Source organism: Homo sapiens, chromosome 18 (assembly GCF_000001405.40).
Source record: "Homo sapiens chromosome 18, GRCh38.p14 Primary Assembly".
NCBI lineage: Eukaryota > Metazoa > Chordata > Mammalia > Primates > Hominidae > Homo > Homo sapiens.
In genome coordinates, this window is record NC_000018.10 from 55671475 (window position 1) to 55698362 (window position 26888).

At 39.1% G+C, this 26888-nt stretch overlaps 1 long non-coding RNA gene across 1 annotated transcript in view; it reads left to right on the forward strand.

The window, feature by feature from the left end:
* LOC105372130 (uncharacterized) overlaps nucleotides 1–26888 on the forward strand; it is a 177123-nt gene that overhangs the window by 6198 nt on the left and 144037 nt on the right. The window contains exon 2 of the long non-coding RNA XR_007066382.1: nucleotides 8038–8085. This is a non-coding gene — a long non-coding RNA (uncharacterized LOC105372130). The remainder of the gene's footprint in view (nucleotides 1–8037; nucleotides 8086–26888) is intronic.

Genomic DNA, 26888 nt, shown 5'->3' on the forward strand with positions numbered 1-26888 from the left:
ATTCATGATAAAAGCAGAAGTCCTTGTTTTTTAAACCCAAAAGTGATGTCAAGGAAAAAGACGTTTAAGTCATTGAATGTTGCTATCTGTTGGTTTAAGAAATGTGCCTAAACACATCTGATCTTATTCAGGTTGGGTGGCTGCCTCAACACATACCCAGAAATGGAGGAAAACACTTGGCTAATAACATCCTAACTCCCCTTAATGTTTTTGTTTACTCCAGCCTTGCATGACCAGCAGCAGGGTAATTGTGTTAAGTCTGGGTAAAATAGTTCTCATCACACAGACCCCCAGCAGGGCACAGGAAGTTAGTTTAACTAAACTGTATCTATTTTGGAACAGAAATACACAGGCTGAAATAAAAAGAGAGAAAATCTCTTTCACATTAAGGACATTAAAAAGCCAAATGGACTTGGCTGGTGGATGAGTTAATCTAAGGTGAATGTCACCACTTAAAAACTTCTTATTATTTAGGAATTTTGAGAGTCATCTTTACATATATATGACATATCTCATATGATATGATAGTATACATAATGTGTGTATATATGTGTATATCCATAAATCAAATATCAGCCTTTAAATATTTTTTGAAGTAATTATTTTGTAGCACTAGGAAAAAAGTTTCAAAGTCTATTTGGAGGAACATTATCTCTAAATACCCTAGAACAGTGTCAGAAACAGCCATTGAACTAGAAGTCAAAGCAAAACTACACCAAATGATGTACTCTGGCTTTTTCCCACTTCCCCGAGTGATTTCATCTCCTATTCTAAAAATAGGATAAAATGGAGATGGCTTCACGTGCTTCCACCTCCCACATATGTCCCAATCTTCTCCATTTGGATTAGAAAAAAAAAACTCTGCTTGCAAATGAATCGTTAATTCTATAAGAAGCCTTCTTCTGTTTTCCTGCACAGGTAACATTTTGTTTTGCAAGTAACAGAGTCACTTCGTATTTTGGGCTTGGCTTTTTTTATATATATATAATAAACCACATTGCTCATAAATATGAGCAACACTTTGGGTTGTTTGTTCCAATTTGTTTTCCTTTTTTGAATCGATGCACTTCAATCTTTGCTAATGTTGAAAAGCTGACAAGCTGGCCCAATTAGGTGTCGCTAAAGGTTCAGACTTTGATAACCTGTTCTGATTGTGTGTGTATTTAACTTCTACTAAGGCTCTGAATGAAGATAAGTTCTCTATGACTCTGTTAGAAATTAGATAAATTGGAATCAGATGATGTCTACAGAACTGAGTTTCTAATAAAGGAATTTGTAAACACCCCATTCCTCTCTCCTCACTATAACCGAGGGATTCATGAGGGGAACTCACCAGTGTGCCAGCTTTTCCAGGAACCTCTGAGGCTTCAGTGTCACTCCTATCTTTCATAAAGGAAAGGGGCTATTATCTGTGCACTATTTTCATTAGGAATACAGTGGGAACATCTTTATTAGAAACATAGCGTGTGCTTGATGTGCTCAGTTGTGATAATGAGGGGAAGGGTGTGAATGAGAAGATAAGAGGAGCAAGTATTTAACTGGAAGCATTCCACCTGGCTTCGGCTTCATGTTATTTAATTGGATGAGGAACATTTTCTGCCGTGAAAACAGCCAAATGTCCCAGATTGGGAGTCGAGAAGCCAGGATTTGAGGACATCATCGATAGCAATGCTTCATGTCCCTCTTCCTCCTCCCTAGGGGTGGCTTACTAACCTTAACCTTTAAAAGAGCACATGCACTGCACACAGGACATTTGGGAATATAAGAACGACGTAGTTTAGGTGGAAAAAGCACGGTCGTCTTTTCACTGCCAGACATGAACGAAATTGTGAACTAGATAAATTCTATTTTCAAGCCTTATAAGGTTACCTCTCTGGATTTCTCTTCCACTTTTAGCACCTCTAGGCTTAATATCTATGTATTTATATATATCTCTCTCCCTTATAAAAACTTAACTCTCCTGTGTCCTGCTCCTTCACATCTGTGCTAAATGATGTTATAAATTAGTAGGTTTATCAGATTTCGTACGTATAAATAACTGGATGCCTGGGTAAATTTTCATATCAGATACACAACAAATAAAATTTTAGTTTAAGTATGTCCAGTGCAATATTATTCCTTGTATATCTGATTCTAATTTAACCAGAGGGTGCTTTGTATTGTATCTGACAATCCTAAAATCCTGTATTGTATCTGACAATCCTAAAAATAATTTTTCTTTTTGAAAAATTTTTTATTTCTAATTTTTATGGGTACATGATAGGTGTATATATTTATGGTATACATGAGATATTTTGATACAGGCATGCAATGTCTAATAAGCGCATCAGGAAAAATGGGGTATCCATCACCTCAAACATTTATCCTTTTTTGTGTTACAAACATTCCGCTACTACTCTTTTAGTTATTTAAAAATGTGTAATAAATTTTTAACTGTAATCACTCTGTTGTGCCATCAAATACTAGATCTTATTCATTCTAACTACATCTTTGTACCCATTAACCACCCCATTTCCCCTCCCCCCATTAACCCTTCCCAGCCTCTAGTAAACATCATTCTACTCTCTATCTCCATGAGATCAATTGTTTTAATTTTTAGCTCCCACAAGTGAGTGGGAACATGTGAAGTTTGTCTTACTGTGCCTGGCTTATTTCACTTAATGTCTTCCAGTTCCATTAATGTTGTTGCAAATGACAAGATCTCATTCTTTTTTTTATAGCTGAATAGTATTCCACGGTGTGTATGTACCACATTTTCATTATCCATTGTCTGTTGATGTACACTCAGGTTGCTTCCAAATCTTGGCTCTTGTGAATAATGCTGAAGTAAACAGGAGTGCAGGTATCTTTTCGATATATTGATTTCTTTTCTTTTGGGTATATACCTAGCAGTGGGATTGCTGGATCATATGGTAGTTCTATTTTCTGTTTTCTGAGAAACTTCCATGCTGTTCTCCATAGTGGCTGTACTAATTTACATTCCCACCAAGAGTGTGTGAGGGTTCCCTTTTCTCTACATCCTTGCCAGCAATCATTATTGCCTATCATTTGGATAAATGCTATTTAGCTGGGGTGAGATTATATCTCATTGTAATTTTGATTTGCATTTCTCTGATTATGAATGACGGTGATCTTTTCATATACTTGTTTTCCATTTGTATGTCTTCTTTTGCAAAAGGTCTATTCAGGTCTTTTGCCCATTTTTAATTTTTTCCTATTTATTTGAATTCCTTATATATTCTGGTTATTAATCCCTTGTCAAATGGATAGTTGCAGATGTTTTCTTCCATTCTGTGGGTTTTCTCTTCAGTTTGTTGATTGTTTTATTTGCTGTTCAGAAGCTTTTTAACTTGATGTGATACTATTTGTCCATTTTAGCTTTGGTTACCTGTGCAAAGATACTCAAGAAATCTTTGCCCAATCCAATGTCCTGGAGAGGTTCCCCAATGTTTTTTTAAGTAGTTTCATAGTCTGAAGTCTTAGATTTAAGTTTTTAATCCATTTTGATTTGATTTTTGTATATAGTGAGAGATAGGGGTCTAGTTTCATTCTTCTGCACGTGGATATCCAGTTTTTCTAGCACCATTTACTGAAAAAGCTGTCTTTTCCCCAATGTATGTTCCTTGGCACCTTTGTTGAAAATGAGTTCACTGTAGATATATGGATTTATTTCTGGATTCTCTATTCTATTTTGTTGGTCTATGTGTCTGTTTTTATGCCAGTACCATGCTGTTTTGGTTACTCTAGCTCTGTAGTATAATTTGAAGTCAGGTAATATGATTCCTCCAGTTTTGTTCTTTTGCTCAGGATGGCTTTGGCTATTCTGGGTCTTTTGTGGTTCCATATAAATTTTAGTACTCTTTTTTCTATTTCTGTGAAGAATATCATTGGTATTTTGACAAGGATTGCATTAAATCTGTGGGTTGCTTTGGTAGTATGGACTTTTTAACAATATTGATTATTCCAATTCATGGACATGGAATATCTTTCCATTTTTTGGTGTCCTGTTCAATGTATTGCATGTGTTTTATAGTTTTCATTGTAGAGATCTTTCACTTCTTTGGTTAAGTTTATTCCTAGGTGTCTTGTTTTATTAGCAGCTGTTGTAATTGGAATTTCTTTATTCATTTCTTTTTCAGATTGTTCATTGCTGGCATATAGAAATACTACTGTTTTTTTATGTTGATTTTGTATCCTGCAACTTTACTGAATTTGTTTATCAGTTCAAATAATTTTTTGATGGAGTCTTTAGGTTTTTCCAAATATAAGATCCTATCATCTGCAAACAAGAATAATTTGACTTCTTCCTTTCCAATTTGGATGTCCTTTATTTCTTTCTCTTGTCTTTTTGCTTCTGCTAGTACCTCCAGTACTACGTTGAATAGCAGTGATGAAAGGGGACATCCTTGTTGTGTTCCCAGTCTTAAAGGAAGGGCTTTCAGTTTTTTCCCATTCAGTATGATGCTAACTGTGGTTGTCATATATGGCTTTTATTGTGTTGAGGTATGTTCCTTCTATACCCAGTTTTTTGAGGGTTTTAATTTTATCATGAGGGATGTTGAAATCTATCAAATGCTTTTTCATTATTAATTGAAACAATTATATGTTTTTTTCCTTCATTCTGTTGATATGTTACATCACGTTGATTGGTTTGTGTATGTTGAATCATCCTGGCATCCCAGGGATGAATCCCACTTGGTCATGATGAATGCTGTTTTTAATGTGTTGTTGAATTTGGTTTGCTAATACTTTGTCAAGGATTTTTCCATCAATATTCCTCAGAGATATTGGCCTACAGTTTTCTTTTTTGATATGTCTTTGTCTACTTTTGGTATCAGGGTAGGCTTCATAGGATGAGTTTGGAAGTATTCCCTCTTCCTCTATTTTTCAGAATTGTTTGAGTGGGATTGGTATTAGTTCTTCTTTAAGTGTTTGGTAAAATTCAGCAATGAAGCTGTATTGTCCGTTTTCATGCTGTTGATAAAGACATACCCAGGACTGGGCAATTTACAAAAGAAAGATGTTTATTGGACTTACAGTTCCACATGGCTGGGGAGGCCTTACAATCATGGCAGAAGGTGAAAGGCATGTCTCACATGGTGGCAGGCAAGAGAAGAGAGCTTGTGCAGGGAAACTCCCCTGTTTAAAACCAGCAGATCTTGTGAGACTTATTCGCTATCATGAGAACAGCATGGGAAAGACCTGCCCCCATGATTCAATTACGTCCCACTGGGTCCCTCCCACAACACATGGAAATTCCAGATGAGATTGGGGTGGGGACACAGCCAAACCATATCAGAAGCCATCAAGTCCTGGGCTTTTCTTCTCTGGGAGGCTTTTTATTATAGCTTCAATCTCATTTCTTGTTAATGGTCTATTCAGATTTTGGGTTTCTTCATGTTTCAATCTTGGTAGGTTGTATGTGTCTAGGAATTTATCCATTTATTCTATATTTTCCAATTTATTGACATAGTCACAGTAGTTTCTAATGATCCTTTAAATTTCTGTGGTATCAGTTGTAATCTACTTTTTCATCTCTGAGAAATGTGGTGGTGGGGGGTGGTGGTTAATGGCTGCCACAGGGATAAGAGGGAGGTGAAGAGAATGAGGTACTGGCTCTTCCTCCAGTGTTCAAGTGGAGAAGCTCTGTTTTCATCTGAATATTGGCATTGGGCATTTGATTTCACTGGATAAAAGTCCTTTGATTCTAAGAAAAGAAGTCTGAAAATTGCTGGTTGGCTTGACTCTCTTGTGTGCCTCTATAGATCCACTTCTGTCTTTCTTTACCCTGCTCTGGGTCCCTGGGGACAGACTATAGGTCAGTGGGCTCTCTCGCCCTCTGTCTTCTATAGAACTGGGAAGAGATTGAAGGTGGGCAGAGAGGAAGGTGAGGCCAGGGTATTTTTCCTCTGGCTTTTTTCCTACAGAAAAAAATTCAGGATTTTTTTTTTTTTTTTTTTTTTTTGACAGAGTCTCTCTCTGCCAGCCAGGCTGGAGTGTAGTGGCGCAATCTCAGCTCACAGCAACCTCTGCCTCCTGGGTTCAAGCAATTCTCATGCCTTAGCCTCCCAAGTAACTGGGACTACAGTGCATGCATGCCCCACACTTGGCTGTTTGTATTTTTTAGTAGAGATAGGCTTTCACCATGTTGGCCAGGCTGGTCTTGAACTCATGACCTCAAGGTGATCCACCCACCTTAACTTCCCAAAGTTTTGGGATTAGAGGCCTGAGCCACCACACCCAGCCAAAAATTCAGGTCTTTTAAAATTTTGTGTCAAAAGGAATTCTCTTAGCTGCAGGTAAAGAAGAACCCAACTCACTTGGCTTATGCAAATAAAAATGTATTTTTCTCACATACTAAAACTCTGGAGGTGGGAGCAGCTGGCAGCATTTCAGTGGCTCAATGTCTGGCCAGCATCTCTGAGATCTCTGTGATATTTCCCTCATCGTTAAAAGATGGCTGCCCAAATTCCAAAAGCAAGTACATATTCAAGGCAGAAAGGAAGAAAAGAAAAAATCTGCCATGTCCAACTCTTTACTAGGAAAGCAAAAGTTTCCTTGAAGTTTCCCTGTAGACTTCATTTACGTTTCATTGGCCAGATCTTTGTTGTATGATGCCCTGGATGTAGAGGGTGCTGGGAGCTTAAGTGCTGTATTTAGTTTTATCAGACTCTAAAGAGTGCAAGAGAGAAGGGAGTTAGGAATGGTGTTGGCTTAATCACTTAACAGTGTCCAGAAGGATTTTGTTCTTGACAAGGAAAATCTCAGAAGTCAATGTCTCAATCCTAAGGAATAGCTTGTTCATGGAATAAGTTACAGACATTCATGAAATATTTAAAGTGAGGGTATTTGATCATGGTCCCTAAATGTATACCATGTACCTGACTATATCTATTCTTTAACTTTGGTCAGAACTTGAAAGGCAGAATAACCTCAGTGGCTTAAGGCCCTGGTCAAATGACAAATTGCAAATCCATCCATACCCTCTTTACACTTTCATTTTTTGTTTGTTTATTTCCTGAACATACAGGCAAAATCAGGGTAATACGAACACAAAATCATGGAAAAAAACATGGGTCTAGAAATTAATCCTATGAGTCATCTATTTTACCCCCCACATTGCCACAAAGTAACTATGTATTAAGAGAGTTTTGCCTGTTTGAACCCCTCTTCCTTATCTATAAAAAGAGGGTTATGGGCCGGGCGCGGTGGCTCAAGCCTGTAATCCCAGCACTTTGAGAGGCCGAGGCGGGCGATCACGAGGTCAGGAGATTGAGACCCCGGTGAAACCCCGTCTCTACTAAAAATACAAAAAATTAGCCAGACGCGGTGGCGGGCGCCTTAGTCTCAGCTACTCAGGAGGCTGAGGCAGGAGAATGGCGTGAACCCGGGAGGTGGAGCTTGCAGTGAGCCGAGATTGCGCCACTGCACTCCCCCCTGGGCGACAGAGCGAGACGCCGTTTCAAAAAAAAAAAAAAAAAAAAAAAAAAAAAAAGAGGGTTATGCTGGACTAGTTGATCATTTTGTTCAACAAATATTTATTGAGCATCTGCTATGAAACATACCCTCTAGGTACCAGGGTTTGATAGGGTGGTGATGATATAGACAAGGTCCTTGCTCTCAGGGAGCTTACATTCTATTTGGCAGAGACTGACAATAAGAAAATAAACAAGCAATAAAAGGTAACAGTGAGTGATCAGTGCTATGCAGAGAAACGAAATACAGTGATGTGACACTCAGTGCACAGGTACCTATCTCAGATAGTGTAGTCCCAGGAGGCCTCTCTGTGGAGGCAACGTTTAGGCTGAGACCGGAAAGTCAAGAAAAAGTCAGATCCTGAATTACAGGGTTGAACAGCTCCAGGAAGAGGGAGCTACAATAAAAAGGCTCTAAGAGCGATCACACTTGGCATGTTTAAGGAAGAAACAGAAAGCAAGGGAGATATTGAATTTAATCATCACTGCATTTTTCATGACTATAGTTCCCATCTGGAAATGCAAATTTACAAATTAAAACATCAATAACATTCTTTCCTAGGATAACTGAGGATCTCTCTGCCACAGACTTAATGCTCCTGTGCATAAAGTGAGTGTGAAGTTTGAGAATGTTGCTCTGGTTGAACCTGGTGGTGAGTTTCAAGTCTCTGTGTAACTGATGGAGTTTCATAGAGAGCCCATGGCTGCTGCTCTACCTTTTACAGCTCTATCTTTCACATGTCTGTTAAATCATTGAAGCCAGATGCAGTGGCTCACGCCTCTCATCCCAGCACTTTGTGAGTCTAAGGTGGGAGAATCACATGAGCCCAGGAATTTGAGACCCACCTGAGCAACAAAGTGAGACCACATCTCTATAAAAACTACAGAAAAATTAGTGGTCCCAACTACTTGGAAGGCTGAGCTGGGAGGATTGCTTGACTCCCTAGAAGTCAAGCCTGCAGTGAGCCAGTATGTATGATATATATATATACACACATAGACACACATACATATATGATGTACATATATATACACACATAGATATATGTAGATACAATCTACATATATATACACATACCTATTATCGCTTCCTTCCTTTCATTTCTTCCCACTGATTGCCTTCAAAAATATCTTGTATTACACATGGTTTCAGGTATGAAGATGAATGAGATGGAGCACACAATGAAATAGATCTAAAAATATATGTACATATATATGTAGATCATATGTGTATATCTCATTGATCTCTAATACTCTAAAGAAAATTAATTCCATGGGTCCATTGTCTTTGTAGTGCTCATTAGCTTACTCTCCACTACTTATTGTTGCTTCTATTTGCCCTAAGCTTACTGCCCCGCTCTTTTTAATATCCTGGAAGTGATGATCTAGGGCATTAGCTCCCTAATACCAGTTTGTAAATTAAGCACCCATCTATGGACTCGTGGAGGTCCCTGATGAAGTTCACACCAGTCAGCAGCAAAATGGGAAACTGAGGCCAGAGAAATGATTTTTCATAAAGCTAAATTTATGTAACTTCAAAATATTTGTTCTCTCTGAAATAAGGTCCCATGTTTTCTGCATTTTAAGGGTTTTTGCCACAATGACATAATGTAAATGATATTTCTTTTGAGAAAAATAAACTATTTGTTACCTTATATCAGAAACCCATTTTTCCTTCTAACAGAACTCATTGGGCCTTGAAATCCAAGGGCCTGAGCACCAAGGAACTGGTCAAAGCCCATGCATGCATGCCTACAGAGCCTTATATTGTGTCTCTTGTCAGGAACCCTATGAATATTAACCCATTCTTCCATGATCTGAGTATTAATGGAATGGAATGTGTGTGTGGGAAGGAAATTTGATTTCAAGGCTTCAACTCTGTTATCTGTTCCATTTGCAAAAAGCCATCCCCATTGATAACTCTCATTTGTGTACTTTTGAGGGTTTGCTCCTCATAGCTCTGCTTTCGTTATCTTCTAAAATGTATTTAATACTGAAATAAAATACAGCCGTAGCTTAGATGTATGATTCACTCTAACAAACATTGTGTGAATTTTTATCCCCCTGAGCTTCTTGGAAGTGTTATTACATAAGATAGTGGCATGGATGTCATCTTACCTATGCTTGCTTGATAAATAAATGAAACTTTTTTTTTCATCTCTGCTTTCTTTCTTCTGTCTCCTTATTCATCCATTTACTAAGTACCAATTGAATGCTCAATCCTGACATCAGGGCAATCCAGATCCTTCTGAGGGATGCACATGCAAAACAAATGACCTACCTGAGAGGAAAGAGGTGCACCGGACACAAAGTGGGAAGACCCATTCCTTCTGCCTGGGGAAATCCATAGAGAAGAAATGGGCAATCTGACAAACTTCCCATTCTCTATGCCCATTTTTGGGAGGGAGCTAGAATTCTCCCATCTCTTCTTGGCAGCAGAATTTGGGATTAATATCATGAAACTGTGAGTCTGAGAGATTGGGATTGGATTGCTGCTATCCAGTTGTGTGACCACTAAGATCAGGCCACTTAAGTTTTCTATGTTTGTTTGTAAACCAGGGATAACATACCTATTATCACTTCCTTCCTTTCCTTATTTCTTTCCACTCTTTCCTTCAAAAATATCTTGTATCACACACAGTGTCAGGTATGAAGATGAATGAGATAGAGCTTGCCATGCACACAGGGTGAGATAGATCTAAAAACAGAGAAATTACAACACAACCTCTGAGTGCCATTTTAGAGGAATGCCTGTCTCACAAAGTTACGGGAAGGCAGCAGGGAAATTCTTGTGAAAGTATTTTTGAAAATCAGGCATACAACATGGATGAGCTCATGGTGGTAGTAAAGGAGGAATTGGATTAAGGGTGAGATGAAGGGCTGAAGACCAGCATATAAAACTCTAGAATCCTACTGACCACCTGTAGGGACTTTGGGAAAAATATGTCCACTGGGAAGTCAATTCATTACTCCTAGCTGGTTCCTAAAATTATCAATTTTTATGTTAAGTTGGCACAGAGGAATATTAGCTTTAAATGCTTAAAAGGATTTATTTATTAGAGGCTGGGCACCGTGGCTCATGCCTGTAATCCCAGCACTTTGGGAGGTGAGGCAGGTGGATCACTTTAGGTCAGGAGTTTGAGACCAGCCTTGTCAACATGTTGAAACCCTGTCTCTACCAAAAAATACACAAATTAGCCAGGTATAGTGGTGTGTGCCTGTAGTCTCAGCTACTCGAGTGGCTGAGGCGCAAGAATTGCTTGAACCTGGGAAGCGGAGGTTGCAGTGAGCCAAGATCATCACTGCACTCCAGCCTTGGCGACAGAGTGAGACCCCGTCTCAAAAAAAAAAAAAAAAAAAAAAAGAAAAAAGATTTATTTATTGGAATCAAATCCAAAAAAGCACTATCAGAAGGAACTTCAACAGTAAAGAAATTTCCATATTTTCCTTGGAAAGTTGCTCTTCCTTGAGTTTACAAAGATGTAATGCAGTCATACCTATATTCCCCTCTGGTCATCTCCAAGCTGACTTTAGCTTGAGTGCATCTTCAAACAAACATTGTGATTAGCGTCATGGAATTTTCTCTAAGAGCTATCACCACTCATGATGAAAGATTACTTTTTTCTGGTTTATTATTATATTGTTATTATCAATCTGGTTCTGGTGGAATTTCCACCTGTCCACTCTAGTGGGGCCGAATCACAGGCACTGGAAATTCTTGGGTTAGAGGTTTTTAGGCAGAGTCCTCGTGCCACCAGCACAGGGAAGGACAGTTTGAAAGTAGACAGGGTGTGGTCCAGCTCCACCTGTGTGCTCCCTTTGAGGATTTCCTAACTCTCTTCAGTTCTCAACACACCTGAGGACTTGCTAGAACACAACAGGAACTGAGGGGAAGGGATGCTACTCTGTCTTTCTCATGGGTCTCAACTATTTTTGGACAGCTAGCGATCTTTATCTATCGACAGTCTTTTCAGAATCTCAGCTCTCAGCCTCATTAGGGAGTCTGAGGAAATGTCTGGACAGAGACAGCGTCAGGAAGCCCTGCGTGGAGTTGGACTCTCCATCTTGTTTTCTGTTTTAACTCAGGCATGGCTTTGAACTCTCCGAGCTTCATTTTCTTTAGCTGTCAGCAGACATCATATTATACGTCTTGTGTACTCACAGACGTGTTGTAAAGATCAAAATGAGATAATCTGTGGAGCAACATGTTTGAAAAATATATAAAACATTATATAAACCTTCACATATAAATAGAGTGTTTAGTCACACTACTTCATGATTATATCCCATATAATATAGACGTATCCGCGGGCATGCAGAAACTTGCTGTATCCACCCCCTCAATGTAAACGGTAACAGGCATGGAGAGCACAAAGGTGTTTTCATAAAGCAACAAGATGTCCTGAAGTCCTGGGAAGGAAACTACGTTCTGTATCAAGGGCCTCATGCCCCCTTCAGTAAAGATAATGGGAAAAATGGTTGGTCTACTATCTCCCATTATCCTAGATGGTCACCCAGTGTTAAGTCATTCTCCGGTCTGGTTTAGCCAAATAAAGCACAGAGATCGGAACAGAAGTAGAGAAGTGAACCTCTGTCTCCTGCCCTTCTGACTCTCTTTGTAGGACTCCCATCACCCCATCCTTGATGAGCCCAGGTAAACATACTTTGAAAACCCAGGCCCAATACACAAAAAGAGATGGTTAGTAGTTTCCCTTTCTAGCCCACTTGCTTTATATTACTGTAGTCATCATCCTACTAAATGTACACCTTTTGGGCCGGGCGCGGTGGCTTACTCCTGTAATCCCAGCACTTTGGGAGGCCGAGGCAGGCGGATCACGAGGTCAGGAGTTTGAGACCAGCCTGGCCAACATAGTGAAACCCCGTCTCTACTAAAAATACAAAAATTAGCTGGGCGTGGTGGTAGGGAGCCTGTAATCCTAGCTACTCGGGAGGCGGAGGCAGGAGAATCATTTGAACCCGGAAGGCGGAGCTTGCAGTGAGCCCAGATCACGCCATTGCACTCCACCCAGGGTGACAGAGTGGGACTATGTCTCAAAAAATAAATAAATAGATAAATGTCCACCTTTCTTAAATGCTATTCTTTTTTGCTTCTCTGACAGCTGGGCATAACTTTGATTTAATATTTATTCCTGTAGACTCCAAGTTTTAAATATCTGATTAGCCTTGCAGACTAATCTTCTTAAAGGTAAGGTCTGATTTCTATTTGTATCCTCCACACTTTGAAAGGGTCTGGAAGGTTTCTCATTCATTGAACAAAAGGATGAATGAATGAATGAATGAATGAATGAATCTAAATTATTTCAGTGGAGTGTTCATGTTTGATTTATGGGTCTTTTTTCTTTACTTAGTTCATTTCCTTTCTTTGTTTCTCCCAACAGCAAACTGTTTGTAGCAGGCCCTCAATAAACATTTGTTTGGCTAACACATGAATTGTGTATTTCGCTGCATTGGGTAACAATGGGTAGTGTTATTCATCTGGTCTATTTCCATGTCTGCTAACGCTGGGAATTATCTTCCTTCACTGTCAGCTGACCCAAGAGCTACCTGTACTCCTAAAGTGGCTGATAGTGCACTGACCTGAGTGAGGGTTTCAGGAACGTGGCTCCGTTTTTAGCCATGACATTGAATCATGTCCTGGCCTTAAGCAATTGCTACCCCATTCATTAAATGAGGGTGGAGACAATCTTTCCCACTTTCTTAAAGATGTTATGAAGATTAATGAGGTAATGTCTGCCAAGCACCCTGGAAGAAAGGTGCTAAATACTTAGTATTATGGTGACTTTGCTTTCAACTGTGTTACCCATTGGTGCTCATTCAGCAAGATGGGAAAGTAGGAGAGGGACTGAAGCAGTGGAATTTGAGAGAAGGGTTCATGGCCCTTTTCTGAGCACTGCTGATTACTGATCCTGTGCGCGGGTCATCCTTCTGATTCCAACTCTTCTGTCTATAAAAGGTTGCCATAACATAGCACTTAACCAGAGTCAAAAGCATGTGTGGTAAATTAACAAATTTGTTCTCGTAAAGTGGATGGGTCCTTGGATAAAAAGCTTTGTAAAGCCACAAGATACTATTTCAGTCCGAGGTTTCTGTATCTCTGCCTCTCTTTCAAAAGGATATTCACTGAGCTTATCACTTTCTCAGGATTTTTTTAAATTACCCTTAACTCAGTCTTTTATGTACAGCTGTTTATTTCTATTGAACTGCTTTGTTTCCCTCCAGAGAGGTTACTGTTTGAAATTTCTGTCATTTTTCTGTTTGTTTGCTTATAAACTAATAATCCAACAAACAGTCTTTGGACAACAGTGTCTTTTTTATAGAGGCATTATTTTTATAAGTCACAGTGCTTTTGAAATGTGTTTATTTATTAATTTATAAATGCCTCTCATCACACATTGCACCTGTGTGACTTATATTAATTAGAATAATAATGCAATGAGACATGAATAGGCTGTTTGTACCTTTGATTTCAGTGGTGTTTCATTTAAACCCAATGCGTAGTATTTGAGAATTGGATTGTCAACTACAACTCAGAAGAATACAGTAGAATGAGAGCAGTCTATGTTATCCTGTGTTTAGGAAGATTTTAGAATTGTACTAGATAAATGTCATCCAGAGTTTATACTAATTTTAAAATAAATAATATTAAGTCAATTATAATAAATAATATATATCAATAGTATATAATTCTTTGTACTATGTTTTTCTCCCTACAAGTAAAGCATCCAAAATGCAAGATCTGTCAATGCAATGGCATATTTAGTAATATACTAATTCAGAATTTTGAGTTTAAGCAATCAGAAATAGTTGAGTGCTTATGTTGTGCCTGGCACAATGAGTTAGTCTACTCACTATGACTTACCAGGTAATTGCTTCACCTAGACTCCAGTGTTGCAATGGAAAGACTGAAACAATTGGACAGTTATCTGGATCAGGGCACTTATTAATTTGTAAGAAAAGGAAAGGATTCATTTGTCTGAAATTGCCATCTTGAAGGTTTTCATTGATCTAAGATAAATTCCACCTCATTCCTGCAGACACAGACTTGTTCTGAATTTAAAAGGAAGAGATTGCTGTTTTTAAAGACAAAAATTATAAGGCTGGGTGTGGTGGCTCATACCTGTAATCCCAACACATTCAGAAGCTGAGGAGGGATAATTGCTTGAGGCCAGGAGTTCATGATCAGCCTGGGCAACATCATGAGACCCCATCTCTACAAAAAATAAAAAGTTGGCCAGACATGGTAGGCACTCATAGTCCCAGCTACTTGGGAGGCTGAGTTGGGAGGATCGCTTGAGCCCAGGAGGTCAAGATTGTAATGAGGTATGATCATGCCACTGTACTCCAGCCTGGGCCACAGAGTAAGACCCTGTCTCTTAAAAAAAAAAAGAAAAAATTATATTTCTAACCCCAAAGATATATCAGTGTACTACTGATTAGCTAAAACAAACCCATAATTTTACAGAAAATTGAAATGCTGAAATATCATGAAGTTAAATGATTGCCCAAGGTCACATGACCAGTTAGTAACAGAACTAGGACCTAAGTATCCTGTTTTCTGGTTAGTAGTAATACCAGCTATATTGATTCAGATGGCAATATCCAGACAATAGCTCCCACTCATGAGATGACTGAATTAGGCAGTAGGCAGACAGAGGCCAGGCACTGGATACAGAGCAGATAACCTGGTTCCATCATGAAATAATTATTTATCTTTAGGAATGTTCCCAAACTCTTCAGTTTTCTCATCTTTCATATTCAGAAATTTTACTGGTTAATGTCTAACTTCCCTCCTAATTCTGAGATTCTGGTTTAATGAATAAAATTGAACCAGAAAATGGATATCACAGATGTGTTTGCACACAATCACATCCATTTACTGTCTACTAATATATCCTAAAAAATACAATAGTTGTAAAGTCTGATACAAGTCAAGTATGTAATGTCTCTTGAGCCGAATTCTCCTTCACAGAAATACATAGTTTTTTTGGTTTTTTTGTTTTTTGAGACGGAGTCTTGCTCTGTTGCCCAGGCTGGAGTGCAGTGGCACCATCTCGGCTCACTGCAGCCTCCACTTCCCAGGAATATGTAGTCTTTTGTTATGGAATTTGGTTATAAGGAGTACAACAGAAGTCACATTTACTACCCTTAGGAGTTTCCATAAGCTAATGCCCATTACTAATACCTAATACCCAGTAACTGGTATGTCCCAGATACTCTGCTAGGTGCTGCTGGGCACCAGAGGTATTATAAAGCTTCTGCATCTACCCATTTTGAGCAGATGCAATAACATGAACAGTCTTTATCTGATCATCCCATCTCGAATCATCTCACATCCTCAAGCCATAGTATTTAGAACTAGAAAGAGGTTAGTGGTTTTCCGTTGCTCATCATTCATTTTACAGTTGAAGAAACTGAAGCCTTTTATCTGACAAGTCAGCTTTACCCCTAGCAGAATGTATACAATATTTTTAATATATAAAGATATATATTTCACAGTCACAGTGTTACACAGGTAGATAATCTTTTCCCTTCGTGGTTCCACACAACTGTATTTCATTCTAGATACAGGTCTTTGCATTTGGTGTCTTCTTTCAGAGTGCTTCTTATCTCCCATGGCTGACATTTTGATGAAAATCTTGGCTGACAGAGGAAAATATGTAGAGGTCACTAATCTATTTTGTTATAAGAAATCAAAGAAAATTATTTTCCGAAGTTTTCATCAAATATCTTCCATAAAACCAATAATGTTAAAAAATGTTGGTGATCTGATATACATTTAGGTTGGTTGGAAGGGGTTTCTTATTTGGAATATTTAATTGGGCATGAACTACTTGGGGTATTCTTGTCTACCGTAGTGGGGTCACAGATGTGCTCATACTGTATTTTATGTAGAAAGAAAATATAGCTTCTATATTTTCAACAAAGTAAGCTGCTTTTTTCCTTAAGAAACCACACCTTAATCGGTCTCAGGAAACTTACACTTATCAATTAAAAATAGGTCAATGTCTTCTGGTTTAATTGGACTCCTTTCAGTCCAATTAAAGTTCAACTCCCTTTGTTTCCATGGTCTCGTTATACTTGATCTCTGTAGGAAATCTGCCTCATTCATTATCTTTTCTGCAATTCGACACTGGTAGGGAGGTCTGAGTGTTTGACTATATGCACCGGGTAACAGAGGAGTACATACTTACACTTCCTTGTTTGGGAGTGGCTGGATGGTTAACTAGTGAGCTGGCTTGAGCAGGGTCCTTGGGCATCTTCTGATGCTGGTGACGGTGGCCTCATTCATTTGCATCTGGTGTCTGCATGCACTGCAGCCTCTTGTGCTCTCATTCCAAGCATCCCTGGGTCCTCTACTACCCTCTGCACCTCTAGGACTATCATGGCAGCAAGGAGAACTTCTAATTTTTTGCATTCTCTGCCTCAGGGACATTTATCCAAGCCTCCTCTTACCATCACCTCCATGTTGAGTGAAGTGTCCAGCCAAAAGCTTAGTACTTCCAGGAGCCCTAGGCATCCACCAATTCTGATGCTTTCAGACTTCTTCTGATCCACCCTCATGTTTCCATGGCCATCTCCCCAGCTCAAGGTTTGGTCTTGAGGGATGTGGGACAGCATTTATTTTACTTGTCTGTCCTGGCATTTGATTTTTATTTGACTTTCCCTAAGTCATGGCCTTCTCCTTCTGATTTTATCCTCATGACTCAATCCTAAAAACTAGCTAGTGTGCAGAGAGAGAAACCAGCATCCCAACCGAGGAACACAAATTACAGGGCATTTCCAAATCAACATGTCTGCTTCCTGTTTTATAGACCTGTATAAAGCCTCCTCATCCTTCTCCTCCCTGTCTCACTCCCAAACAGTTCTTATCCCTTCATCTCTAATTTCTTTCCTCTTGCCTTTTTTTCTCCCCCTTACTTTTCTCCTTCTCCTCTTTTTTATTCCTTCACCTCCTTCTTTTTCTTTTTCTTTTTCTTTTTCTTTTCCTCCTCCTCCTCTCACTCTCTCCCTCTTTCTCTTTCTTTCTGTCTCTGCTGGGAATACTTGTGAAAATCAGTTTACATTTTTCATCTTAGTTTCTCCACCTCTTAAGTAGGGAAAGGAAAACTGAGATCAATTTTTAATTTCTCTGGAATCATAAAGGAATAATTAGTTAGCAGTTAGAGATTATCTTGAACAACTTGGATAAAATTAACAGCACAAGTATTATTAATATTGCTCAAAGTATCAGACTTTGAAGAGGTTGTAGGGGCAATGGATGACTCTATTACAAAGAATGCACTTAGAAGATGGACAAAGTGTCTCCTGACCTGGGTTTCTAAGACCAAAGAAGGTGGAGAGAAACTCAACAAGTATGCAAAATTATCCTTACCTAAGGAATACAAAAACATAGTTATCTACTTTATCTGAAAATATGTTTATCAGTCATTTTGTGAGATCTATTTAAAAAATTTTTTAAATAAATCTAAAACATACATACGAATATGTACACATAAAATTTATAGCATAATAAATTATCTCACATTGAACACATCTATGTAACCAGCTCTCAACTCAAGAAATAAACATGACCAGGGCCACAGAGGTGCGTTGTCTTCCCCATTCTAAGCACTACCACCTGAAGGGAACCATACCCTGGTTTCTAATGCCAAATATTAATCTTGCCTGCTTTTAAACTTGATTTGGATAGAGCCATGCAATGTGTACCCTTTGGGGTTTACCTTTTGCTCAGCATCTTGTTTATGAACTTCATTCATTTTCCTGTGAGTAATTGTGGTTCATCCGTTCTCATTGCTGCATAAAGTTGTTCCAGTTTTTTGCTCCTACACATAGTACTTCTATACACATTCCTGTATGGAGCTTTTGGGGAACACATATGTTCTCATTTCCAAGTATACTTATATAGATTTGAAAGACAAAGTAGAGGTCTGTGCTGGGAATATAAATTTGGAATTTGTCATTGGAATAAAGATGATTAGAAAGGGATAGATTGCAAAGGATTTAGGTCACAGCCATGGCAAAATTTGAAAGTTAAGTCTTTGAGAAAATAGTTACTAGTGGATACAACTTCTCATTGCATTTAAAGTACCAGAAGGATAGCATCTTTGAATGGCCATCTGATGTCTCTCTTTCCTTTTGTGTTCTCCCCAGTGAACCACCTTCGGGTTTATCCTCTTGGAGACTGCCAAGTTGCAAACTTTCCCCATCTCTGTCGTTTGCCCCCACAGAAACATATCCTTTCCCAGTCAGTACTCAGGCTCTGTTACTTGGTGTCTTTCAAAAAGTCAAAGAATATCTCTGAAACTAATCTCTTCAAGTGAGAGATAGAGAAAAACCAACCCTACAGGGGATGTTCCCAGGTAATACGGGAGCATTTGATATCTATCTATCTATCTATCTATCTATCCATCCATCCATCTAATATATCTATCTATCATCTTATCTACCTATTTGTCTATCCATCATCTATCATTTTTATCAGTGTAACCTAAGCTGGTTATAACAATTCACACATTACAGAAATATATAATGTAGAAATTAAGGTTTCATGGAATTTCTTCAATACTCTCATAACCACTGATGTGTATTATTGTCATACTGTTTTCTATGTTGTTGCTGTTTCAGCAAAAATGGTCACCACACTACTTAAGCACTATTCTATAACTTGCTTTATTTACTTACTGTAGCTGGGCTATCCTTCCTTTGTATAGCTTTAATAATTACTTAAGGGATCTAGGTTTGATAAACCAGTCTTCATTAACTAATTCTAAATGGCAATTCTTATGGTTGAAATTTCGGAATAAGTAGCAAGGGAAGATAAAACCATAGTAGTCCATGAAACTGAAATTCTGAGGGCTGGCAGACCATTTATCCATTTTCTCTATGCTAAGCTGGAGGTAAGATATTAAACTCTATGGCTTTTTCCTTACCAAGCATTAGTTAGCACACAGCAAATTCACAAATTTTAATCTTCACTAAAACTAACTGCCTTGCATGTTATATTTTCTCTTGAATTTATTGAATTAATTAAGTTGGCTCATTGTTCTTGTTTTGACCCCGTGGTCATTGGAGGTTATTATTATTTCTATGTACTAGAGAATATGTCTTTGTCCATTTTGTGGTCAGATCTGTTAGCGGAACCAAACCAGTAGTTAGTGCTTAGATTCTGGAGTGAGAGGGCCTAGGGTTGCATCACAGCTCCAACACATTCTAGCTTTGTGACCTTGTGCAAAGGACAGCGGGTTTTTTTAACCTCAGTTTCTATATCTATAAAATTGGCACAACATATAACAGCATTTACCCTAAAAGATGGTGGTTGTGGGAAAGGCTAAAAAATGAAGGCTATTTTCTTGTCTATTGGTAGCTTTCATGGTAATCTTTAGCATTTTCAAATTCACTGGTCAGGAAGCATAGCTCATGAGCTACACAGAGTAGTCCATGAGGCAGGACACTGCAGTGATAAGGAGGGCAGCCTCTGAAATCAGAATGCCTGAATTCCTCCTGAGTCTGCCAACTCCTTGCTTTGTGACCTTGAGGAAGTTCTTATTCCTCTGTGCTTCCTTTTTCTTATGTGTAAAATTGGGTAATCATTATTTTATCAGAAGATAACTGAGACAATTAAAAGATATGTCAAGTAAATCATTTAGAATTGCATTGTTCAACATGGAAGCCACTGACCACATGTGGCTATTGAGTATTTGAACCGTGGCCAGTCCAAACGGAGATGTGCTGTATGTGTAAATGACACACCAGATTTAGAACATTCGGCAGAAAAAAGGATGTAACATACCTCATTAATAATTTTTTAATTGATTACGTATCACAAAGATAATGTTTTGGATAGACTATGTTAAAGAAAATACAGTATGATAATTAAATTTACTTCTTTCTTTTAAAAAAATGTGGCTACTAGTAAATTTGACATTCTCTATGTGGCTACCATTTATCACTTGCATTATATGTCTTTTGGACAGCTCCAGTCTAGCGTGTGGCAAACATTCAAAACTGATCAGCTATTGTTTTAGGGGACTTCTTCCAGGTAAACAAACAATTCTTGTTTGATATACCTGTTTGTGGTCCGCTTTTCACTCTGACCCCATAGGAAAAATCATCGTGATATCATAGCTGTAGTAAAGGTGAGAGTTTGATATGGATTTGGGGGAAGGATTGTCCTGAATTTTGTTCACTGATAGAAATGCTTTTGGTGTGATCAAATCAAGGTTTTTCTCCAACAGTGGACTGAGTAATGATTGCAAACTAATTACAGCCTGCATATTGCACTTTGCTTTTCAGTAACAGCTTTCTACCAGCTGTTTCCTTTAGCAGTTGTTCATTTCAAGTAGGTACCAATGCTGTTGGAAGTGTGGGCTGCCAGAAAGCAGTTTCAACTCTTTGCTTCAAATTGAAATCTGTATTTTTTTTTTACATATTTTTTTTTCTTAACGGCCCTTCAAAATCTACATAACTCTAAGGCTAATTTCATAGCACCCTTTCTGGTCTCTTTTTCAGAAAAAAAATCTTTTGAAGATTGTACACAGAATGGTACAAAATCTCAAGTTTAATTAAGCTTTAGCAAAAATATCCTTTAACCACTACATTTGTTTCTCGCTTTATTCCCTCATAGCCTGCAACGCTTCTGAAGTATACTTTCAAGTAGAGATTCAATAGAGCCATTTAGAGTAGTCGTTACTGTAGATTAAATAACTATTCCCATCTGGCTCATGAAATATATAATCTGTATTCCTCTCTGGATAATAAATACAGTAAGTAACTACTTACCATCCCTTAGACCATCACTTTTGTCTGTTCCGGTGGGTTTTTCTTTATTATCTATCAATGAGGTATTTTCATTAACGCTTTCCTTACAAAGAAACATTCCCTATGGGCTTCTTTCTACAGAGAAAGGCATTATCCTGGTTCCTCAGACCCCAGCAGGCTTCAGATGTCTAATGGTGACGAGTAATGATTGGTATTTATTGAGCACCTACTGTGTAGTAGGCACAAAAACATAGAGACAATGCTAAATGATTTGTATACATCATCTCATGCAAATATTTTAAAAAACTATTTGCGGGGCATTCTTATGCTTTTAGAGTCTAGGAAACTGAGATTCAGAATCCCAAAGCCTGTAAGTAGCTAAACTGAGATTCTAATCTAGATTTGTTTGACTCTGTATTAGCTTTTTCTCATGCTGCTAATAGACGTACTCGCAACTGGGTAATTTATAAAGAAAAGAGGTTTAATGGACTGATAGCTCCACATGGCTGAGGAGGCCTCACAATTATGGCAGAAGGAGAAGGGAAAGCAAAGTCACATCTTACATGGTAGCAGGCAAGAGGCCTTGTGCAGGGGAACTTTCCTTTATAAAACCATCAGATCTTATGAGACTTATTCACTATCATGAGAACAGCATAAGAAAAACCTATCCCCGTGATTCAGTTACCTCCCGCCGGGTCCCTCACATGACACATAGGGATTATTATAATTCACACTGAGATTTGGGTGGGGACACAGAGCCAAACAAAATCAGACTCCAAGTCCAATGATCGTCACTTCTAAGTCAGGGGCTGCAAATGGGACTGAGCACCATAGGAGCTAGATGATACATTGAGGTGTGGGAACAGCACATGAACACTTGTATTTCGATATATGTTTACTTATCTTTTTGAAATTTCTATGCTTACATATGTTTTACAATGTATAAGATAGATCAGTACAACATCAACTATAAGAAACAGCTGCAAAAGCCTGGGTGCAGTGGCTCACACCTGTAATTCCAGCACTTTGGGAGGCCGAGGCAGGTGGATCACGAGGTCAGAAGACTGAGACCATCCTGGCTAACATGGTGAAACCCCGTCTCTACCAAAAAAAAAAAAAAAAAGTATAAAAAATTGGCTGGACGTGGTGGCTGGTGCCTGTAGTCCCAGCCACTCAAGAGGCTGAGGCAGGAGAATGGTGTGAGCCCAGGAGGTGGAGCTTGCAGTGAGCCGAGATCCCGCCACTGCACTCCACTGGGTGACAAGAGTGAAACTCCGTCTCAAAAAAAAAAAAAAAAAAGAAAGGAAATAGCTGCAAAAGTTTACAGGTGTTGGGAATGTACTCTCGATTTTTTTCTTTTCTGATAAGTTTTCATCTCTGCAAAAAAAAAAAAAAAAAAAAAAAAAAAAAAAAGGTCTCACATTTTACCACAGCCTTGGAGGAACTAACGAGAATTGCACCATCCAAAACTGTAATGCATGAAATGTATGGTGATAATAAATATGATCCAACATTTAAAACTTTTAAAACTGATCTACATTCTTTGTCCTTGTCTTTACTATAACTTAAACAAACATTCATGTATAAGGGGGTACATTCCCTTGGGGTTAACCACATTTTTCTCACCTTCGTTCCTAAGTAAATGGATGCTGTAGCCACTTCTAACCACTGCTGCCTGTTCCTACCACCTATTCTCAGCTCACCTTGGACCTCTGCTTGCTTTACTGCTTACTTCTGCTTCCTGGAATCTGAGATGAATAATTGCCCATGTTGCAATGTTGCCACAACCATGCTGGCCTCAACTAGGCAAAGAAGACTATGATGCATTTTATTGCCTTGGGCTCTAGGTATCTTCATGCAACTAACACAAGTTGGCTTTCTGTGCAACAGCCTTTATTAAAAGTTAGTGGCTGTGAAGAGAAGCAACTAAATAGGACTAGCTCCAGAAACCAAGGGAAAGGGAAAAACTTTGCCTCCTTGCCTTAAGAATCTCACAGTTTTCTTCTTTCTTTTCTTCCTCCTCCTTCTCCTTTTTTTGACTCAGAGATGCAGAGATAGAGAAAGATATATATATGTATATGAAGAAAGTCCTCTCTCTCTCTCTCCATATATATATGGAGTCCCATATATATATATATATATATATATATATATATATATATATATATATATGATTTTCCTAAAGAGGAATGGAAGTTACATTGTGAGATATTGAAGAAAGACCTCTCCCTCTCTCCCTCTCTCTCTCTCTATCTATCTATCTATCTATCTATCTATATATATATATATATAGCCACATAGAGAGAGAAAGAGAGGGAGAAAGGGAAAGAAGGAGAGGTCTTTCTTCATATACATATAGAGAGAGAGAGAGAAAGAGAGAGAGAGAGAGGTCTTTCTTCAGTATCTCACAACATAATTTCCATTCCTCTTCAGGAAAATCTTATCTCTAGCCCACTGGCATGGTCTCACATCTTCCCACATCAGGATAATCCATGTGTATAATAATTAACAGTAGCAAAAGTCCACAGATGAGTCACTGAGTCTAGAATAAGGACTTGAACAGAACCACCAGGGTGGGATTTACATTCCAACTGTGGTTCTTGAAAGCCTTTTCCATGAGCAGGAAGCAAAGATTTGTGCCTGCCCTTCATCTAGTGTCATTTTGGTCTCCTGTGGGGAATTCTTGGTGGGCACATGCATACACACACACACTTCTCCAAAGTAAACAGTAATTCTCTAAGGTGGTAGAATTTAAACCCACACTAAAGAGGAGAATCATTATTTGAAAACCATATTGCCTGAATGATTATCCTTGCCATAATGTAGAGGTATTTTGCTTTTTGTTTTGTTTTGTTTTGTTTTTTTGAGACGGAGTTTTGCTCTGTTACCAGGCTGGAGTGCAGTGGCGTGATCTTGGCTCAGTGCAACCTCTGACTCCCTGGTTCAAGCGATTCTCCTGCCTCAGCCTCCCAAGTAGCTGGGATTACAGGTATGTGCCACCATGCCCAGCTAATTTTTGTATTTTTAGTGGAGACTGGGTTTCACCATGTTGGCCAGGGTGGTCTCGATCTCCTGACCTTGTGATCTGCCTGCCTCACCTCCCAACCTGCTGGGATTACAGGTGTGAGCAACCGCACCCGGCCTATTTTGCATTATTTTGCAGTCCTTATTTTCTCATATGCCACACCCATTCTATCACTTTCACTTTTATCAAATTTAACAATCAATTTTTTTTTTTTTTTTTTTTTTTGGAGATGGAGTCTCACTCTGTTGCCTGGGCTGGAGTGCAGATTGTAGTGCGTGATCTGTCTCCCGGTTTCAAGTGATTCTCCTGCCTCAGCCTCCTGACTAGCTGTGACTACAGGCACGTGCCACCACACCTGGCTAATTTTTGTAACATTAATAGAGACAGGGTTTTGCCAGACTGGTCTCAAACTCCTGACCTCAGGTGATCCACCTGCCTTGGCCTCTCAAAGTGCTGGGATTACAGGCATGAGCCACTTCACCTGGCCACAATCACTTTTTTGATACCTAGTTTGAGTCAAGTCCTGAGATACTGAGTTGATTTCAATAAACAGTGCTTATCCATAAGTATCTTACACGCTCAAGCAGATAGACAGATATACATAAGTTGCTAAAACAGTGTGATTTGTTGTGTACTTATGTGCAAAAGGCTTTGCAAATATTGAAAAGAAGCAAGATATTTTTCTTGGGGGAGTAGAAAATGATTTATGGAAGAGAGAACAGTGGTGCCAGGGTTAAATGAACATAATAGATTTCACTGGCAAGGGATGTAGGACAGAGCACTTAAAGTAAACCTTGCTCCTTGCTTGTCTGTTTCACATTTTAAATATCCCATTTTCTATCCATTTGTCCAAAATTGGCCCATTTCAAGTAGCATTTCTAAATTGGATTTTTTTTTCCATGCTGGTTGATGCCTTTACCATTCATTTGAAAGTTTTCCTATTCTACCTAGAGTTAGTTTTTTTTCAAGCTACATAGCCATCATCTCCCCAAGACACATTATATAGAAATGTACATAATCACATATATATGGACAAATGGCTCTTTCTAACTCCCTAGCCTGGGGATTTGCATATGGTAGACATTCAAACAGGTTTTGTTGATCACAGTAAACCCAAAGTCCCAGTTTGTATAGAGAGCCACATCCAGAGTTGAAGACACTGAGGTTGGTATCATATTTGGAAAAAAATGCAAAATAAAAACAAAAGGGAGCAGCATAAAGCAAGCCAACAAAAATATTCCCCATGCACGCTTGTCATAAGCCTCACTCTCCTCAGGAATTTTGCAGGAATCACTGATTCTCATGGCTTTTGCTATACATCCCTCCATAAAGATAGATGCTGCTGCTTCCTCCGTGTCCCTAAAGAATTTGTCATGGAGTTTTGAGGGACAACTGGAAACGGGGGAAGGAGCCCTCATTTGCTAGGATGGCCATGACAAAGTAGGACTGACTGGGTGGCTTAAACAACAGAAATTCATTTTCTCGCAGTTCTGGAGGCTAGAAGTCTGAATCACGCTGACAACAAAGTTGGTTTCTTCTGGGGCCTATCTCCTTGGCCTTCAGATGGACAATGGCTCTCTGTGCCCTCACATAGTCTTCCCTCTGTGCATGCCTGTGCCCTGATGTCCTCTTGTTGTAGACACCAGTCATATTGTTTTAAAGCTCATTCAAAAAGCTTCATTTTAACTTAATTGCCTGTAAAGACCCTGTGTCCAAATACTGTCACATTCTGAGTTAGTGGGGGTGAGAACATCAACATACGAATTTGATGGAACACAATTCAGCCCATAACAGGGACTAAGAGCCCCACAGCAGGACTAGAAGATAAAAGCAAAGCAGTGACTAGAGCCCATGGGGGATTGTAACAGGGACTGAGTCAGGGCCACAACTGGAGATTCATGGGGTTTACTGCAGTAATTGGGAAGCAACAAAAGAAATCCAAACACAGTGTTAGTGTTCAAACCAGAAGAGAGGGTCCCAAACTCCATTTCAAGAGTCTCATCTTGTAACAGGTGCCGGTCAATCAAGGTATTGCCAACAGTCACCTGCTGGGTAAATAGATGGTGAGGCTGGGTGCTGCAGTACTTCTGATCTTGATAACAGGCATGGGGTACAGAGAAATGAAGTCACTGCATCAGGAGTTGAGGGCTTGGTAACCTAAGAAATGGGCAAAAACTGTAAGGCCACAGGGCAGAGAGGCCATGAGAGAGGCAAGGCTATTCATGCAAAGGGTTAGCAGCAGGCCTGGCAGGCTGATCAAGCAGGTGGGGAGACAGAGGCAGGGCAGATTCCCCAGGAAGCAGTATAGAAGAGAGAGCTTTTCATGGGACACATGGGACCAGTCCTGTGGATGCCCAGTGAGCTTGGAAAGCTGCTGAGCTGGTTCTGGGGAGGTGGCAAGACTCAGGCACTGAGACCATGAAGTGGAGTGGTCATAGCATTAACTGTTTTCAAAGATAGGTCTCCTTTTTAAGGCCAAGAAGTCGGCTTAGTGAGAAGATGGTGGAGTTGACAATAGTTTTGAGTTGGTGAAGATTATCGGGCAGGGTAGAATCTTACAATTTGCATATAGTAGACATTCAAACACGGTTTGTTGATCACAGGCTTGC